The sequence below is a fragment of the Homo sapiens genome, chromosome 1 (genome assembly GCF_000001405.40).
Source record: "Homo sapiens chromosome 1, GRCh38.p14 Primary Assembly".
NCBI classification, from domain to species: domain Eukaryota; kingdom Metazoa; phylum Chordata; class Mammalia; order Primates; family Hominidae; genus Homo; species Homo sapiens.
In genome coordinates, this window is record NC_000001.11 from 237,774,989 (window position 1) to 237,795,823 (window position 20,835).

Sequence of the window (20,835 nt, forward strand, 5' to 3'; positions counted from 1 at the left end):
TTGTCATAGAACACAGATTTCTATGTGAATGTTTAAAGGATATTGGATAAAGTCACATGGCTTATTGTGCTTGGTTCAATAAGAACCAAAAAAAAAAAAAAAAAAAACAGAAGTAACAAGTAACTTCTCTTATTACTTATTTTTTATATGACATTTTAAAATAACAATCGTATCTGAAATATGTATTTTGGAATAATTTTAGTATTCAGAAAAGTTGTAAAGATAGCACAGAGGGTTTCTGTATATGATTCACCCAGCTTTCCCCAATGCTGACATTTTATATACTCATGGCACATTTGTCAAAACTAAGAAATTAACATCGGCACATCCTGTTAACTAAATTACAGGCTTTATTTTGATTTTACTAGTTTTTCCATTCACGTTATTTGTTTTTTAAAATTCTGGGATACAATCCAAGTTACCACATTACATCTAGTGAAATATATTTTAGAGAAGCTTGCCTTAGTGGTATATCTGCTGATAAATATTGATACTATGAAGATAAGCTTATCATTAGCTTCGTGCTGCTTCTGGACTGCCTTTTAGATTACAGCATTGCGTATTGCTTTATTATTCAAACTTCTACTAACTATAGAAAGTTATATAAGGGGGAGATCCAACACCATTGAAATAAATGGAATTACCTATAAGATTGTAATCCCAATTTAATAAAAGGGGAAGAATTGTTTGAGTAAGAGGACGTTGTATTGTCAAGGTTCCTACAGTAAGACCATGAGGTAGTTGTTGAGAAAAGAGAAAGTTTGATCTGTCCTTGGCACAGGTCCTTCTGGTAGTTAGCAAGGGTTTTCCATGTTGCAGGTACATACGTCATGAGAAAAAGAAAGCAAGGCACCAGACTAGGGAGTTTACAGCTCCCAGAAGCTGAGGACCTAAGGTTGAGCAAGCCCTGCAAAGGACATTCTGTGTGTTTCAGGTTTTAAAAGAAAAAATGGGTACTTTGGCTTTGGGCTTGCAACTCTGTCACATGAGGGTTGGCCAAACAACTTTTGGTCACCTAGGGGTTGCAGGAGAGCACAACCCCTTGTAATGCTTCAACTTTTGATTTAAACCTTAACTATCACGGGAAGAAAATTATTTCTGACTTGAAGAAAAAACAAGTTTATTTTCCTAAAAATGGCTATCTAGTGTTCACCTCTTGCACTTTTCCTCCTCCCTAATTTATATGCCATTGGAATACCAAGCTGACACTGAACATCGACCACAGGAAAATCCTAAAGATCTATTGCTTTCAAACCAGAGCTGTAATAGCCAGTTGGGACTAATTATAACCAGGGATGAAGGAAACTATAAAGCTACTATATCTGGTACATTAAATGAGCTGGATTTAATGACCTACAGATTAAAATAACCTGATTCCTTCTCACCACTGTCCCTTCAGACTTGCTTTGTCGACCATTTCTTTACCACTAGAAGGAATCTTGTGCACTGGCCACTTTCAGATAAATAAAATCATGTCAGTCACTTTGTCACAAGAATAATCTCATTTCAGTAAAACTTCCGCTTACCCTTGGGCCTGATTTTCAGCTGGAAAACCTAGAGTGAGGGTGCAGGCAAGAACTCCCATCTGGATGTTGTTCATTCTGGAAGGAGTCCAATCTAGGCTTTTTTTACTCTCCCCCCTGAAGGTTCTTCTCTCTCTCTCTCTCTCTCTTTCCCTTTCCCCTCCTGATTAACCCCAGGCTTCCTCTGGGTTGTTGCTGTGGGAGAGAGGAGGTATGGGGAAGGAAAGGTCTCTTCCGGGGCACATGTAATCCCAGAGTGCACCACGGAGCTGGCCCTCTGGTGTGGTGTGTTGTATTTTTTTATCTAACGTGCGAGCCTGGCCCTCTTAGTCCTCCAGTGCCTGGAAATGACTCTTTTCCCATCCAGTTTAAAGTTATTCAATCAGACCTCAAGCATCTGGTGGCCCCCATCCACCTTGGAATTATGTTACCATTTCAGACTGATTTCAGATGGGGCAGAATGGCCCCTTCCTGAGTAGTCCATATAAGAAACACATCTTTCTTGTCATATGCTGTCTGTCACACTTTCTAATACCAGACCTTATGCTACCCAACTTCAGAAGACAGAAACTGAGCTCACATGATGGTTCTCCTGAAGCCTCTTCTCTCACTTGGTGTAAGGGGATGCAGAAGTAACGAAATGGAGAGGCTCAGCACACGGAGAACCCCCTCCAAAGTTTCCCCCTTTTCAATTTCAACCCCTTTGTATCCTTAGAGTGGAAATATCTATTTTTAGTCACCCCTTTTGCAGGTAGTGAGTCTACTGCTTTTGTAGACAGTCAGTCGTTCTCATAGTCATCTGAGAATACATAGTCAGTATCTCAGCTGTAGGGCCTCAAGAGATGCTGAGACAGGAAAAAGTTCTATTTCAACATCTTGGATCTGGCCATCTCTTCCAATCACTTGTTTCTAGCATAAGATCTGAAATGTTTTTATGTGGCCTGCAATTTAAAGGTATTATAAGTTATTTGCCTAAAGGAATGAAGGAATTTGAAGTTAAGAACGGTATTTTATGTACTTTTTTCCTTTCTAAGTAAAATCCCTGTTATTTATTTTCATGGTTGATGTAGATGGGTTTACAAAACTGAATGATGGTAGAATTTTTTCATTGGAAAGTGAAAACAGAAATTGGCTCCATGAAAACAGTCTGCGTGCTACAGCGGATCCACCCTAGTATTGATACTTCAGAAGTGTCAGCTAAGAGAACAAAGTTAGGTTTGTTAAAAGATAAACTTAGGCACAATAACATCTTAACAAGTTTATCTGAGCATTCAACTATTTATGAATGGAGCAATACCAGAACACTAATGGTTCAGCACTTCACCAAAGGTGGGGGCACTTTTATAAGGCGTTCCTGGAAGCAAGACAAGAAATTTGATTGGTAAAAGTGCAAAGTCCCTAGTTAGAGGTTAGTTGGCAGTTTCTGACTGGTGAACTCTCTAGTTAGAAGTTAGCTGGCAGTTTCTGATTGGTTAAGCTTAAATTTACATTGAGTTGGGATTTGGTTTTCTTAGGGAGGAACGCAAGACACTGGAGCCATCTCAGCCTAATGACTCCCAATTAGTTATTTTAACCACTTCCAATTGCCTTGGATTCTGGATTCGTGAAATTAATAAGCAAGTATTACTCTTTTAAAACACGTCATTGGTTGTACCATTTGTAAAATAGTTGTTCAATTAAGAAAACGTTGAAGAGGATTTTTTTTCTCTATATGAATGCTTTATCCAGGTTACTATTTAGGAGTAAGAGGTAATCACCTCTCATCTAAAGCATATTCTCAGATTCTTTTGAATACAAAATAGTGACTATTGATTGATTTGACTAAATAGCCAAAGCACCCAGACCTTATTTTTTTTCCTCTAAATAGAGGAGATCAAAGCCAGACCAAAAAAAAAAAATGATTCACAGAATATAAAAATCCTTGAGAAACTTTTTTTGGAATATATTAAATGTTTTAAAGAGGAACGTATTTCTCTCTTAAGGATCATTATCATCACTGTATCTCCTTCTTTCACTTTGAGTTCCTATCTTTTCAGATAACGTGCTAGCAGTGAAATATATCAGCACTAAGTCAACTTTTCCCCTGTTATTGTACAGTTTGTTTTGGCAAATAAATTATGAGGAATAATTGCCGTTTGTCTGTTTATGCTCCAGGGTCCTTGCACTGGGAATCAACAGAGTTTGGCACACAGCAGGCTGTGGGATGCTGTGGTCGGCTTTCTTCATGTGTTTGCCCATATGCAGATGAAGCTGTCGCAGGTAAACTAACTAACTGCCTTCCTCTCTCTTAAATGACAAACTGGAGACTGTAATCATCAGCAAATTAAACATGCTTTTTGATGTTAGAATATTATCTTTTTAAAATCACTTTATCACTTGTCTTTTTAAGATCATTTTATCATGCCTCTTTTGCTCATTAAAATTTTTTAAAAATAAAAACCGTTATGTAACCTGAGAATAGACAGGAGTCATTATTCAAATTTGAGACAATGGATATTAAGAAATTGAATGTAATGGACAAATGAAACAGTCGAGTCCCCAAACATTGTACATTTCACAAGCTTCATCTTCCTGGCCATTGCTCACTGGAATTTTCCTTCCCCTTACAGATAATTGAAATAGGTTTTATAATCTGTTACAAGGGAGACAATTTTGTTACAGGGTCTTAAACAAGCAGATGTTCTCAGTAGGGCGATGCTTACCCCTAACCAGTGTATTTAATTTTGTGACAGAGAAAAAGTAGCTATTATATGGATAAGCAAATGAAGAATAAACAGATTTTCTACCATGTTTAATGTTAACTTGAGGGCTATTGAAAAATATCAGCTTGTTTGCTCACTGCTGTATTTGTTTCATTTGAAACAAAAAGATACACAAACAGAAAAGTTCTTGTGAATGTGTCTCTTCAATGCAGTGAATTTTGATGGTATAATCTGAGACCTTCAGAGTGTGAGTATTTGCCAGGCGGTCAGGTAGAAGAATGTCAGATTAAAAGACAGAATGCTGTCATTCTAATTCCTGAGCTGCCATGACTTGTTCCACCCGTGTGGGCCAGGTCTCTCTTCCCTGAGGCCTTGTTTCTCTGCAGTAAAGTGAAGAACCTATCCCTCAGGCCTGCAAATGACAATATGCAGGATATATTGTCAAAGATCAGCAGGGCTGGATGCTAGTAAAAGTGGTAAGGATACATCTTAATGTCAAAGATAAACAAAGCTGGATACTAGTTAAGCGAATAAGGACAGATTTTAATCAGTAGTGCTATTGCAACAAGGAAAAAGAGTTCAGCATGAACTGAACCTGATTTGATTTGTACAGAGGTGACTGGGAATATTAATGGGAGAATGAAGATTAGAGAAGGGGCGAGCAGGAGCTCAGTAGAGTCAGAGGAGTGAAAAGTTACAAAAGGTTCATTGGTGTAAATGTGATTAGACCAGCTATGTCTGCTAACTGGCAATTGTCAAAGTTAGTTAGTTAGGATTCTGTCCTCCAGAGTCCTTATCCTTAGATGTTGTCTGGAACTGTTGATTTTTTTATCAGCCTGGAGTTTTCCCAGGCAGGTACTTTAGTGGAGGGCTGGGATCATCCTTGACATGCAGTCTTGAACAGTTAGAAACTATATTTATTAGTGTTTGTTCAAGTCTTTATAGACCAAAGTTGAGGCCAAGTTGAGAAGAGGGCTCAGAGGTACCTGACTAGAGTTTGGTCAAGGAGAGAATGTCAGTATGGAGTTATTGGTGACTTCAGCCCAATAGGGAAATTCCAGTCTTTCATTTAATCACTAGGGATATTTTGGTAAGTAAAGGAAACCAACATATGAACCAAATGTAGACCCTCACAAGAGAGTTCTCATCCTGATGTTTTTCCATCAGGGTATTAACATCTGGTGCTACCTAGCACTTGTTCATGGTTTATAAAGTTTCCATAACAGCTATTTAGAAAGAAAACGTCTCATCTTCCCAACACTGTATAGCTTCATATGTACCAAAAATGCCTTGTACAAATTTTTTAAAGAATAGTTTAAAAAATGGATGAGATGTAAAGTTGTGCAGATGTAAGTATGATCCGTATTTCCAGGGACTATAGCTAAGCGTAGTGATGTTTAGACACAATATGTCTTTGAAAAAGAATGTTTCTTTATGGTAAAAAATCAAAAGCAAAAACAAAATTTTAACCAGAGTAATACTGGAAAGCTTAATCAAATTGGTAAATAAGATACATTGTGTAATATTTATTAGTACAATGTTGTACTAATAGGTAATACCTGTGTAGGTTTTTGGTTAATTTATCTAACAAATACATTTATAAGTTTATCTTCTATGGTGCTTATATGCCTATATTTCTTCTATATGAAGTTGATTTTTACATAATAGCACCTAGAAGAAGTTAGAAAGTTAGAAGAAAAAAATGCAGGCTTTTCAAATAAAAGATAAGATAGATGTCAAATGTGCAGAAGGTCTTGAGTCTTGCTTGGCATTGGAGAATATTCCACTGTTGTGGTTCTTTCATATTATTGCTATATATGTTCATTGTCGGTACAAATACTTTTTTTTTTTCTGAGACCCAGTCTTGCTCTGTCACCCGGGCTGGAGTGCAGTGGCGTGATCTCTGCTCACTGCAACCTCCGCCTCCCAGGCTCAAGCAATTCTTGTGCCTCAGCCTCCTGAGTAGCTGAGACTACAGGTGTGTACTACCCTGCCCAGATAAATTTTTGTATTTTTAGTAGAGACGGGTTTTTGCCATGTTGCCCAGCCTGGTCTCAAACTCCTGAGCTCAGGTGATCTGTGCGCCTCGGCCTCCCAAAGAAGTGCTAGGATTACAGGCATGAGCCACTGCGCCCGGCCTACAAATACTTTAAAGAACATGAGTTGAAATCAGTAATACTTTTTAATTGTAAAGTATAACTATTTTTAATATTTGGCCCTCCTTTAGTTCCATAATGCTTCAAGTGGTTACTATTTATTGCCAGAGCAGCATCCTTTTTGTGAGAATAAGTATGATGTTCCTGCTGCATAGTTTTCTTGTATTATCTCAAATGCAATGTTCATATTTTCAGGATTCCAGTCAAATTGAGCTATTAAAAGAATTAATGGATCTGCAGAAGGATATGGTGGTCATGTTGCTGTCCATGTTAGAAGGTAGTTTTGATTTATACTTTTAAATTCTCTTTATTATCTTATTTAAAGGATCAGCATGGGCTTATGGAATCAGAGTGTAGCATAGAATAAAATAGCACTCAGATATGATAGATGCCTTGGATTTCTTGCTGGCTTATTATTCTTTTTCTCACATTAGTTTTTTTTTAAAGGGAGATCCTGCATATCTCAGTTTACATATCTACAAAATGAAAATAGTAGTACTTTATAACAGTACTTTTCATTTCATAGTGATATCGTAAAAAGTAAGCTCTCCAGTCTATAAAGAATATTTTATTTGTTAGTGTGTTTGTCCATAATCAGTGGGGGTTTCGGACATTTGGGTAACAGTCAGCTGTGTAAGCTGCTGCTTTGAAAAGACCACAGAGTCACTCCTTTGGGTTCTTAAAGCCGTGGCACTGCTGGGAAAGCCTCTGTCCCCCAGGGCAGCTGGCAGTGGTAGTCTTGTTCTCCCCACCACAGCCTCAGTTTTAATTTTCTCTTTTTTTTTCTTCCCAGCTTATTTTGTTATTGCTTTTTTTTTTTTTTTTTTTCCTGTAGCAGGCAGGAAATGTAGCAGTTAAGAGCTTGGGCTCCAAATCCACCGCCAGAGTTTAAATCCTGGCTTCCTTACCTCTGGGAGGTATGACCCTTGGACAAGCTACATCTCCATTTTTTCAGTTTCCTCCTCTGCAAAATAGAAATGATAGATATTGATATGAGAATTCAGTGGAATCCTATAAATACAACCAAAACAACTAAGAAATGTTTGGTATTACGGTGCCTATCACTTTTTCTTAACTTCTTCCTATTTTCTCTCCGTGTCTGCCATACATGGCGTAACTCCACTTCAGTTAACTGAGGCAGCTGTCACGCCTCGTGCTAGGACTTTGAAGTGGCAGCATCTGCTTAAAGCCCTTAGTCGGTGGCAACAGTAGCCACTTTATACCCTTTAAACACAGGATCCATTTTTCCATGCATGGCCCCGATTCGAATTTTGGGTTAAATACTAACAAACAGCAACAATAATAACTGCAGTAGCAGCAACCACAGCAGTGACTTAAAACCAGCCTCATAACGTGCCAGATACTGAATTAAGTACTTATTTAATCCTAGTAACAAGTTTATCAGTTCAATGGTAATATTATCTCAAGTTTGCAAATGAGGAAACTGAGGTACAGAGAGGCTAAGAAATCTGCCCAGGTTGCTGAGCACATTAAGCCTGGATTCAAACCCAACAATGTGGCTCCAGATCCCACACTCTTAACACCACGGTGCTTACTGCTTCTCCGATTGACTCTGTGGACCTCTGACCAGCGACCTTTCTTCTCCTGCCTGTCTTTATGATATATAGCACGTTCTGTTCAATGAATAAAAGCATTCTGTGATCCTGTAGTTCAGGAATCTGCCATTTTCTAACAACTATACACACTGACTCATGAAGAAATGTAGAAAGGTGCTTTTCATTATGAATCAGAAAAAGCGTACAGTTTGCTCTCAGGATCTGGTCTGAAGACCTGGCACTAACCTTTAATAATTAAGTCACAATGGGCCCATTAATTTAGTCTTGTTGAACTTCAATTTCCTCATCGGTAAAATTAGGGTTAACAAAAAGTACCTGCCTTACATATGAACATTAAATCAGATATTGTCTATGATAGTGATTTTTCAACTCTAAAGGGCTGAGCAAATGTTTATTTTTATTATTAATATGAAACGATTTTAGTTTCTGGCTCTTTGGCTCATTTTCTTTATCTAAAACATGTTGCTTCTTTGATTGAGGGGAAAAATGTCAACTTTTGTTGAAATATTTTATGTGTGTCAGTCTAATTGCTCTGTAAATAGGGTTATGCATGTTTGTGTAATCATTTTTTAAACTATAGTTTATAAATAATTATCTTTTTATAGAGTGAGAGATAAACAGGGACATATCCTTGATTCAGATGTTATTAAAGATCTACATTGTTATCTTCTGTATGATCACTGATTTTGTTAGTTTATTTTAAACAAATGCAACTGCTTTACCACCAGGTAATGTTGTTAATGGAACGATTGGCAAACAGATGGTGGATATGCTTGTGGAATCTTCCAACAACGTGGAGATGATTCTCAAATTTTTTGACATGTTCTTAAAACTAAAGGATTTGACGTCGTCTGATACTTTTAAAGAATATGACCCCGATGGCAAGGGAGTCATTTCCAAGAGGGACTTCCACAAAGCGATGGAGAGCCATAAGCACTACACGCAGTCAGAAACGGAATTTCTTTTGTCTTGTGCGGAGACGGATGAGAATGAAACCCTCGACTACGAAGAGTTCGTCAAACGCTTCCACGAACCTGCGAAGGACATCGGCTTCAACGTCGCCGTCCTTCTGACAAACCTCTCTGAGCACATGCCCAACGATACCCGACTTCAGACTTTTCTGGAATTAGCAGAGAGCGTCCTGAATTATTTCCAGCCCTTTCTGGGCCGCATCGAAATCATGGGAAGCGCCAAACGCATCGAGAGGGTCTATTTTGAAATCAGTGAGTCCAGCCGAACCCAGTGGGAGAAGCCCCAGGTCAAGGAGTCCAAAAGACAGTTCATATTTGACGTGGTCAACGAAGGCGGAGAGAAAGAGAAGATGGAACTCTTTGTGAACTTCTGCGAGGACACCATCTTTGAAATGCAGCTGGCGGCTCAGATCTCGGAGTCGGACTTGAACGAGAGGTCAGCGAATAAGGAAGAAAGCGAGAAGGAGAGGCCGGAAGAGCAGGGGCCGAGGATGGCTTTCTTCTCCATTCTGACGGTCAGGTCGGCCCTGTTTGCGCTCAGGTACAATATCTTGACCCTTATGCGAATGCTCAGTCTGAAGAGCCTGAAGAAGCAGATGAAAAAAGTAAAAAAGATGACCGTGAAGGACATGGTCACGGCCTTCTTTTCATCCTACTGGAGTATTTTCATGACCCTCTTGCACTTCGTGGCCAGCGTTTTCAGAGGCTTTTTCCGCATCATTTGCAGCCTGCTGCTTGGGGGAAGCCTCGTCGAAGGTGCTAAAAAGATCAAAGTTGCAGAACTGTTAGCCAACATGCCAGACCCCACTCAGGATGAGGTTAGAGGAGATGGGGAGGAGGGAGAGAGGAAACCCCTGGAAGCCGCCCTGCCCTCCGAGGATCTGACCGACTTAAAGGAGCTGACAGAGGAAAGTGACCTTCTTTCGGACATCTTTGGCCTGGATCTGAAGAGAGAAGGAGGACAGTACAAACTGATTCCTCATAATCCAAATGCTGGGCTCAGTGACCTCATGAGCAACCCAGTCCCCATGCCTGAGGTGCAGGAAAAATTTCAGGTAATTTATCTCTAAGTCACAGCAGCATTCTCTCTGGACTTCAGGTGGGTATAATAAATGATCATTAGACCAGGTTTCATGCTAGTGCCAGAACGGTGTTACCTATGTGACTTGAATTTCCAAAGAGAAATGCTTTTTGGTAGACAAAGTTAGTGTTTTTAAGAGTCCTTATGAATTATTAAATTATCTTAAACTATTATGGTGTAAGCTTCAGTACCCACCCTAACTGTAGCCTACATCTTTCTCCACGTTTATATAATTTTATATGCACATTTGAAAAGTTGGGAAAAGAAAGAAAACTTTTAGATACCTGTAAGTGGCATTATTCTCACAGAGCATTGAAATTTTCTCCTCTGTTCTGTGATTTTCTTTGGCATGTTTTCATTGTATGTTCTTTGTAGTCATTAGTCCATAGAGCCATCATTCCATCCATGAATATGGCATATTTTCCAAGTGTCTGACAGACACCACTGGGTATCATAGGGAATTCAAAGGTAAGATGGGGTCACTGCCTTCAAATTACCTTAAAAAGTTTATTCCAGAGATAAAACTAACACACATGAAGAAACTAGAAAAGGGTTAACTGTGAAATAGTATAGGCAGGGCAGTAGGGGTTGCTTATGTTGAGAAAATGGCAATGCCGCTATGGTTTAAAGTAGTTAGATAAGAATGAAGAGGTAGGACTTAAACTGGCATTGAAGGATGAGTAAGATTTTAGTAGGTGCTTAAGATAAAGAAGGATATTTCTAAATGAGAAAAGAGAGTGAAAAGGAGTCCAGAAAGTTTGTCCCTGCTGCTGGTGCAGTAGGTCAGTGTGCAGAAGAAGCGGGAGATGTTTGGCCCTATAAAATGAAAAACACGTGGCGCTTTTATCGTGGTATAAGCAAGAGGGTATCTTATATAGGTTATGGTTTGACACATGGTCACATGGCTCCCTCAATTCATTCAAAGGTGATGGGTAATCCTGGTTTTCTTTTCCCCATTGACTCATTCAAGGAACAGAAGGCAAAAGAAGAAGAAAAGGAAGAAAAAGAAGAAACCAAATCTGAACCTGAAAAAGCCGAGTATGTATAGTTTGCATATACTTTTCCTTCGTTTCAGTTTGTCATTACATCTCTTTTTCTTGTACTCTGTCTTTGGGAGCTGCAAGGGAGAATCTCATATTGTCAAGGAGCCACAGAACTAATTGTGCCATCTCCGTGGAGAGGCTCTGACAGCGAGGACCTCAGGCCATGGGCAGGGATCACTGTAGACGCCCCCGGGGCTGCCAGTCTAGTCTTTTCCTCTCATTCCATGGGGACCTCCATTTGTGTGATTCCCTCTCAGCAGGAAAGACTCCAGTGATTGCATGGAATGCTGTTTGTAAGAGGACTCAGGGCCACAATTCTGTCTTTAAAAATCACTCATGTCTTTCTGTCCTTTCCAAGAAGGGAGGAAACAAACATTCCAAATGCGCTTTCATAGAATCCTGTGGAGTGGTGCTCCTTAAACCATAGACCCAGGACCACATGCATAAAAGTCCCCGGGAGAGTTGGTTAAAACAAACATTCCTGGGCCCCAAGCCATAGATCCTGCCTCAGCAGGTCTGGTGTGGGGCCTGGGAGCCTTCATTTTCACCAACACTCCTGGGATCAACGCAGCAATAAAAAAGAGCTGGATGTGAGGCGATGAAAATGCATAACTCCCTCATAACACCAGGTTTCTCTGAATAATCGAAGCCTACATCTTTCTCCACGTTTATAGAATTTTATACGCACATTTGAAAAGTTGGGGGAAGAAAGAAAGGAAGCTTTTAGGTGCCTGTAGTGCCACTATTCTCCCATAGCATTGAAATTTTCTCCTCTATTCTGTTATTTTCTTTGGTCTGTTTTCATCGTTATGTTTTTGTAGTCAGCACTATTCATTGTCATAGATCTCACACTATTGGGTCAGTTGTAAAAATGGCCCCATAAAAAGTAGACACAAATAACAGCAAGACAGGCATTTCAATGGCAATTCTTTAACTAATATATACCTCATATGAGTTAAGATTAAGTATAGCTTATATATATTAATATTTCTGGTTTATGTATTAATACATATGACTTCACTTTAATTTAATGAAGGACTGATATTTTGCACCTAAAGGATATCAAATGTCAATTCTTCTAATTCCATTATTGTTGGAATTAATATATCATTACTATAATTCACTTTATTTTATTTAATAAAATTAATTACAATTAATATATGTCAGAGTATAATGATACACTTTATACATGTGAACAATTAAGTGTGTAGGCCTCTGATTTTAAATCTTAATGGAAAATGTTAAAAATTGTGCATTAAAATTATAGGCTGGGCGTGGTGGCTCACACCTGTAATCCCAGCACTTTGGGAGGCCGAGGCGGGCGGATCATAAGGTCAGGAGTTCAAGACCAGCCTGGCCAACATGGCGAAACCCCATCTCTACTAAAAATGTAAAAAAAAGTTAGCTGGGCATGGTGTCACATGCCTATAATCCCAGCTACTTGGAAGACTGAGGCAGGAGAATCACTTGAACCCGGGAGCTGGAGGTTGCAGTGAGCTGAGATGGCGCCCCTGCATTCCAGCCTGGGTGACAGAGCGAGACTCTGTCTCAAAAACAAAAAAAAAAAAAAAAAAAAAGGATTGAAATTATAATTTAAAAATAGGGTATGTGGGACAGTCATAGCAAAATCATTCATCATTCTTCATTTTTTTAATGTTTCATTGCAGAATTGGAAGGAATCTGCTATGCATAAAGATTCTTCAAGCCTATAAAATGTCCTCTATATTTCAACTTCACAGAATTACCCATCTCCAGGGGACTGTGATCAACAGAAAATCCTACCCCTGATTCTAAAATTCAGAATATTATCATTCACCGGAAAAGAAATTAGTTTTCAAAAGTAATATGATGGCCTAAAATATTTGTTCACTTGGGTAATTTTCCACAACACCCGTTTAGTTCTTTAGTTTCTGGAGAGCTTATGTTTTGTTTGTTTGTTTTCATAGGGGAGAAGATGGAGAAAAAGAAGAGAAAGCCAAGGAAGACAAGGGCAAACAAAAGTTGAGGCAGCTTCACACACACAGATACGGAGAACCAGAAGTGCCAGAGTCAGCATTCTGGAAGAAAATCATAGCATATCAACAGAAACTTCTAGTAAGATGTTTTAGAATGAATATTGTTACTGATATAGTGCAATACCGTAATAATTTAGGCTCAGTAAATGTTTGCTGACCTCTCCCTGAGTGGCAGTTAGGGAACCAGGTTAGTCCAGCACATGTTTGATTTGCTCATTGTAGTGTGTTTATCTTTTATAGTGAATGTCTCTGGCCCACCGCTCCCTACTGTCAAACCCATAACCTCTACTCATGTTCACACTCCCTGAAACCCTTTCATTTGGTTCCTGCCAGGACAGTGCTCCCAGTGTCTGCCCACAAAGACATTAGGACAAGTGAATAAACATAGTCTAAGGACCTGCAACAGATTTTAAAGCAAGATGTGCCTTCTAGGACACAAGTAATTCAAAAATGTTCCAGAACTAGATTAGTCAGTATTTCTATAACATCACCGTTTTACTTAAAAATCCAGGTATAAAAATATTAGCTAATTGAGCCATAGTCAGTATTTCTATAACATCACCCTTTTACTTAAAAATCCAGGTATAAAAATATTAGCTAATTGAGCCACTTTCCATTGATAATAAGAAGGTCTATTCAAAATTGTTCTTTAAGAGAGGGATTACAGTTCTTTATATACTGTCCTGTACATTTTACAGAGGTGTTCCCCTAATTAGTAAAGCACACATTCATATTTGGAAAACAAAAGGTATAGCTCTCTCTATGTCTATTCATATTTATCTTGAAATTCTTAAAAATATTGTTTGAAAGGCCTTTATTAACATGCATGTGTAATGTCACATGTATACACATATATGTGTCTCCTATCCTTTTCCTCCATGCTTATCTCCTATCCTTTTCCTCCTTTATAAAAATTAAACATATGTGTATATATGTATAATTTTTATAATTATATGTGTATATATGTATAATTATATGTGTGTATATATGCATAATTTTTATAAATTTTTATAATTTTTATAAGGGAGGAAAAGGATAGGGGATAAGCATGTAGAATCCACCTACAAGAGGTACTGACCAGTGATGTTAGACCTAGAATTTAAGAACAACAACCCTCATAAGAAAGCCATTTGAACAGCAGAGTCATATTTAGTGTTTTTTAGCCCTTGAGAAATCAAAAATTGACAACTCAGAACCTCAATGAACTATAGAATTTCACCTATAAGGAAAGTGGACTGTCCTCAGTAATTATATATTCTAAATGCTTATCTTTAAACATGGTTATGTATTATATATTTTATGCAAATATATTTTAATTTAGTTGTAACTACATTTCCTAAACCATCTTGTATTTTCCCTATATTGTTTAATACAGAGTTCACTGAACAGAAATGTTTCCTAGATAACTAACTCTGAATAATTCCTAATTTGGTATGCCATAATGGCTTCCATGGCTGCAGGTATAGTTCTATTATAGGTCATGGCTGCAGGTATAGTTCTATTATAGGTCATGGCTGCAGGTATAGTTCTATTATAGGTGGTTTAAAGGTTGAATGGGCGCTGCAGCACCCCAGTGGGTTCCTGAAGAATGTGTTTAACTACAGTTGTGTAAACCAAGTAGTTGAGATTTTGCTTCCAGCTTTCACTGTGTCAGGGTTCACATGTTCTGTTGTCTCTGCACAGCTCCTCCCTTTTCCTGCATCTCTTTGCTATCTTTCTCGGCTCACCGATTTGCATGCACATGACCAGTCATGGCCACATCCGTCTAACAAAGGCCCCTTTTCCCCTAAGTGAGAGCTCAGCCTAGCTAACTCAGCCTCTGTGACCCAGATCCACCTTCCAAGGACAACCAGTGAAACTGACGCAGTCTGGGTGTGGTGGACAGCCTTGTTCTAATAAGCTCTGGCAGTAAAGATGGGGTCCTGTGTGGGGAAATGACACGAACAGAGATGGGCTGTGTACACAGAGGGGAATATCATTCTGAGGTGTTACATTTTGATGTAGCTTTATTATGGTAAATCCCCTGACATATCCACTTAAATTATATTGACATCTCCCACTTAATATTAAAACAAATGCTTAATGTCCACCATAACCTATTACTTTAAACCCACTTCTCTAGGCTTTATTTTTTCCCAGCCCAATAAATTGTACCAGCTGTTCCCTTAGTTGCTGAGGCTCCCAAATTCAGAAGGTATCATCTTTGAACCCTCTCTTTCCCACCTTAAATACAACCCAACGATAATTATTCTCAGTTGTTCCAAATACATCGAGTCTGCCCAGTTCTTGCCATCTCCACAGGTACCATTAAGTCCAATCCACCACCATGAACCTCACCTCTGCCTGACGTCTTGTACTAACTTTCTAACGGGTCCTCTTGCTTTCACTGTTGTTCCACTGCTATCAGTTTTCACATAGTAGCTGGAGTGGGCCTTCCAAATCATAATCCAACTGCACCAAGTCCTCCTGAAATCCTCTAATAGCTTCCCATCCCACCTAGAATAAAATAATAATTATACTGGAATATTACATTTATTATAGATAATCAACATAATAATTATATTAATAACGAACTTTCCCTATATTAACTCATTTCATCTTCAAAGCACACTTAAGAGTTAAGGTCTTTTGTTATTCCCACTTCGCATGCAGATGAGCAGAGTGATGCTACAGAAAAGATTAAGTCATTTGTCCATATCCCACACTAGGAAATGGAGGGAGGCAGGCTTCATATCCAGGCAATGAGGCCTCGGAGGTTGTAAACTGAACCACCACACTGTCAAAGACAAGACAACCTTTTATCAGAAGCCTACAAAACCCTGCCCCCTGCTCACCTGTCTGATCACATCCCCCTGCCACCCCCACACATCAGTCTCCCTTCTTCTCACTGTGTTTCCTTCTATTTCTCAAACACACCAACATCACTCCTAACTCAGGGCCTCTGCCCTTGTTGCTCCTCTCTTTGACACACTCTTTCTTTCCCCAAATATTTGTATGACTTGCTCCCCGCTTGTGCATTCAGGCCTCTCTGTTCAAAGCTTACCTCCTGAGATAAACCTTCCCAGACCAACACCATCTAAAATAGCACCCCTATTCCCTAAGCTCCTAACCCGATGTAGTTTTCTTCTTAGCATTTAACATTCTCTGAAATTATGTTTTTCACTTGCGGGTATGCTTTTTTATTCTTTGTCTCCTCCATGGTGGCAGAAATGTTCTCCCTCACTTTTAGGTCTGCAGCACCAAGAATGGTGCTTGAAACAGTAGGCTTGCGATCAATTGTTTGGGGTAAATGAATGAATGCTTTATTTAAATTGACTGCAGGTTTCAAGCCTGTTGATTCAGTGACCTTTTCATAATGTTTTTCACCCTCAGAACTATTTTGCTCGCAACTTTTACAACATGAGAATGTTAGCCTTATTTGTCGCATTTGCTATCAATTTCATCTTGCTCTTTTATAAGGTACGTACATCTCACTGTTTTAATTACTGGTATAAAACTCCAAATAGAAATGAATGTAAAGATTTCACGATGAACGTATCTACTACTGCTAGTGAACATGTCTAAACCTATTATGAAATACTGGTGCCTAGGCACTGATATCACTGTTATCTAGGAAGGCAAGATAGATTTGTTCCTGAGAAGTGAGAAATGCCTCAACTGAAGGGCATTTGATTTAGCAGAGGGCTTCCCCACAGTATTCCCAGCCTAATTTAGCTGAATATCTTATTTGTGACTATGCCTGGGTGTGGCATACCGTATTATATTACATTCTTTTGTAATTGAGAAGAGAGCTTAGCCATCTAATTTTTTAGCATGCATTGGAATCCTCAGAATTTTTGGTTGAATAAGAATGAATTTTAAAAGTATGTTCATTACTTGCCTTTGGTTTTTGAAAAGCTATCGTTTTTAGCCTTTGCTATTAGTCCTTTCATTATGCAGTGACTTCACATCCAACTATTTGCTGAAAAGGCTGTATTTCTTTTGTCTTTTGCTTGCAATGGTATCTTAGATGCAGCAAACTGACTCTACTTTAAATGCTTTGAATCAGGTCTCCACTTCTTCTGTGGTTGAAGGAAAGGAGCTCCCCACGAGAAGTTCAAGTGAAAATGCCAAAGTGACAAGCCTGGACAGCAGCTCCCATAGAATCATCGCAGTTCACTATGTACTAGAGGAGAGCAGCGGCTACATGGAGCCCACGTTGCGTATCTTAGCTATTCTGCACACGGTCATTTCTTTCTTCTGCATCATTGGATACTACTGCTTGAAAGTAAGATAGTAAGGCACCAAGGTACCTGTGTGTGTGTGTGTGTGTGTGTGTGTGTGTGCGTGTGTGTGTGTGTGCGTGTGTGTGTGTGTGTGTGTGTGTGTTTTGCAGGCTGGACTTCTGGGGAAGCAGATTCTGAGCTGGAAACTTTGTGCACAAAGTTTCTGAGGGAATGCTCCATGAATCAACATGCATGGGGCAAATGGAGGAAGGATGGGACAGAGGGGAAAGCTGGGCTACTGTAGACAGACACAGCAGGTGCCGTCTCCAAAGCTGGGATGCCCCTTCAGGGCTGTCCTGGCCTGGGGCATTGGAGCCTGGCCTTTTTATGTCTACATTGACTAGTCTGCCCTGGGAAGGGGCTATGGCCATGAGCTGTCTTAAAGTAGCTTTCTTTCATATACTGATAATTATTCACATAGAGAATTTCGCCTATAACTTGGCCCTACAGAAGTGAGCTCACCCACCCACTATGTCTCATGGTAATGCAGTGATACTTGGTGTATTAAGACTTATAGAAATATATTGTGTCAATCCTGGGAGTCATTTTATTGTTTTATTATGAGGGAAGTATCTACTGCTATTCTTGGCAGAAATGCCTCATGATTTGTCACACTTCACCCAGAAAATAATGCAGCTTTATCCCCAGAGGCCTGCCAAGGGAACAATATAATTTGGTGAATAGAACCCAAGATAATCTCTCTGAGTGCTCAGGGCTGCCCATTACCTGTCCAAACCTCTTTATCTTTTCCTAGCAAGGTGCTTTTTTACTGTAATGCCTTTATTTCACTTTCACTGTCCTCTGCCTCTGGTTATAAATCTTGCAGAAGACGTGTGAAAAACCAGGGCTCAGAGTAAAAGACTAGAATGTAAAGAGTTATTCAGGAACTCCTTTCCTCCCGTTTATTCTGTTTTATGGGAGTGCATATTCTTGGCTATTTCCAGAATATCAGTGTCTATCTGCTATCTGTGCCTTGTGTAAAGTCTGTCCGTGTAAAAAGAGAATCATTATGTTCTAGAAAATCATTATGTTCTGGAAATATTTTGACAAACTGACAGATTTTTGCTGATGTCGAAATTAAAATTTATCTCAAAATAGTATGTGGTGATGCTGAGCATGAAATTATTAAAGAGGTTTCTCAAATAAAACTGCACTTTAGTAGCATGCATTTGGGAACATTGCTGCAATTGCTAAATTTTATTTCATTCATTCATGTTGAGAGATATATGTAAACAAAATGATTTTGCATAATCATCTTTTCATCTTTGAAGTTTAAAAATGATTTCACTAGTGTAATTATCTATAAGACCCTATGTGTTTAAAAACATATGCATATATGTAATATCTATTCTATCTTCTGTTTTTCCAAAACCTTCTAGATGCTTCTTCCTGCTTGAATATAGCTGATTCATTTTCATTCCATTTTTACCTTCCTAGAAGTACACAGGAAATATTTCTTTCCAAAAGCTGTTTTGTAAAGATAGTGACCACAAGATATGCCAGTAAATCTAAACTAATTTTAACGTATTTATTTTTCCTATGTAGGTCCCATTGGTTATTTTTAAGCGAGAAAAGGAAGTGGCACGGAAATTGGAATTTGATGGGCTTTATATTACAGAACAGCCTTCAGAAGATGATATTAAAGGCCAGTGGGATAGACTCGTAATCAACACACAGTGAGTAAATAATTATATGAGACTTTCTGCACTCAAAAATTTCAGACATGAAAATATTTGGTTGGAGTTCCTGCAGATTTGTCAAAAGTTTAGCAGAGGTGAATAATAGTTATATATTCAGCCAAGAAAAATCTAAAGACTCAGTGCTGTCCAACTCTTAATGGTGGATGTCCTCAATTTTTGCCCTCTGAGTTCTGAATTCCTTAATTAAAAATGGCTTAGAGTTCATTTCCACAGCACTGATGGAACTTCACATCCATTACTCAGCGTTCAGGGATGTGTGTAGCAGGAAGTGCATGACCTGCAGGCAGGGTTATCTCATCCAAAAGCAGAGGCAAAAATTATTCATTAACGAAAAAGTTGTAGCATTAAAGGAAAATGCATTGAATTTTACACCTTGAATATATCTGAGTTATCAACTTTCAGTACCATCAAGCACCCTAGCATGAAACTAACTAAATATTAGGACACGGTGTAAAATGTAAGACAGAAAAACAAATGCTTTTTCTATCCAATAAACATTTAGCCCTGTGAGATCAAGACCCAAACTACTAGCTGCTGTTCTGAGTATAAGTCCATCACAAAAGTATAATTTTTCACTGTAAAAAGAATTAGTGCAATAGTTGTAATAGTTTATATTTACTATTCGAGTGAAATCTTTTTAAAATTGTGATTAGTTTTGCTAATTAAAAAGTCATTTGCTAATGGGTTCCGAGTTGTCAAATGGAGATTATTTATACATGATACATGTTTATCCTAAATGCTAAATGTTTTGTTTAGCAATTCTACCATTAATACTAATTTCTAAGCAAGTCAGTCCCTTTAGGCAAACTCTCTATGTATTAGTGAAGACGCTAGAGTTGTGCTTTGCTGCTATGCTCGAAGTTTCTGTGAGGATAAGTGGTGGGAAAGAGATTTTTTTCTTCATGGGAAAAACAATGACAGGTTTCTAGATACTTTAATTTTTAAAGGCAATTGATAAACAGGTCTATGTACTGATATGTTATAAACAAATAAATATAACAATGCTACCTAATAAATATGCTCATATTCTTCTCCATTAAAGTATCAGCTTATAATCTTTTGTATATATTTACATGTTAATATTTAAAATAATATTCAAATACCTATGATGCAGGAAATTATGTGATGTTAGCCAAATTCATTGTAAGTTTACGTGGCAGGATATATGTTTACATATTATTTTAAGTATGCCATATATCCCAAATGATATGTTATTATTTGTCATTAAAAATAATACTATTTACTTCTATGCTTTTGTATATTTTAGGTCATTTCCCAACAACTACTGGGACAAATTTGTTAAAAGAAAGGTAATATTACTTGGAATCCTCTACATTTTTCTTAAAGCACAGTTTAGATTTTTATTTGATGTGATTCAGATGTAGAATAAGATATTGAGGTATAATTTATCTGCCTATTAATGTCTCCATTTTTTTTTTTTAATTTTTGAGATGGAGTCTCACTCCGTCACCCAGGCTGGAGTGCAGTAGCGCGATCTCAGCTCACTGCAACCTCAGCTGCCCAGTTCAAGCAATTCTCCTGCCTCAGTCTCCCGAGTGGCTGGGATTCCAGGCGCCTGCCACCACACCCGGCTAATTTTTGTATTTTTAGTCGAGATGGGGTTTCGCCATGTTGGCCTGGCTGGTCTCTGACTCCTGACCTCAGGTGATCTGCCCGCCTTGACCTACCAAAGTGCTGGGATTAAAGGCATGAGCCACCACATCCGGCCAAATATGAATTTCAAGAATAGCACATAATGGCCGGGCGCGGTGGCTCACGCCTGTATGTATATACAGGTATGT

General features: G+C 38.6%; 1 protein-coding gene across 16 annotated transcripts in view, besides 1 other annotated feature; it reads left to right on the plus strand.

Annotated features, from left to right (window-relative positions):
* Positions 1–20,835, plus strand: part of RYR2 (ryanodine receptor 2) — a 791,805-nt gene that overhangs the window by 732,805 nt on the left and 38,165 nt on the right. For all 16 annotated transcript variants that reach the window (XM_006711802.4, XM_006711804.4, XM_006711806.4 and 13 more), the window contains 9 exons: positions 3,678–3,782; positions 6,577–6,658; positions 8,687–9,984; positions 10,981–11,048; positions 13,000–13,147; positions 16,441–16,527; positions 17,117–17,335; positions 18,879–19,009; positions 20,301–20,343. In XM_006711802.4, the coding sequence (XP_006711865.1) occupies positions 3,678–3,782; positions 6,577–6,658; positions 8,687–9,984; positions 10,981–11,048; positions 13,000–13,147; positions 16,441–16,527; positions 17,117–17,335; positions 18,879–19,009; positions 20,301–20,343 (2,181 nt within the window). The remainder of the gene's footprint in view (positions 1–3,677; positions 3,783–6,576; positions 6,659–8,686; positions 9,985–10,980; positions 11,049–12,999; positions 13,148–16,440; positions 16,528–17,116; positions 17,336–18,878; positions 19,010–20,300; positions 20,344–20,835) is intronic.
* Positions 9,123–10,322: an enhancer, noted in NCBI's record as "BRD4-independent group 4 enhancer chr1:237947411-237948610 (GRCh37/hg19 assembly coordinates)". NCBI's record gives its function as "activates an origin of replication core promoter dependent on BRD2, P300/CBP, MED14 and CDK7 cofactors, and independent of BRD4, by STARR-seq in HCT116 cells {active_cell/tissue: HCT116}" and the evidence as "EXISTENCE:reporter gene assay evidence [ECO:0000049][PMID:35650434]".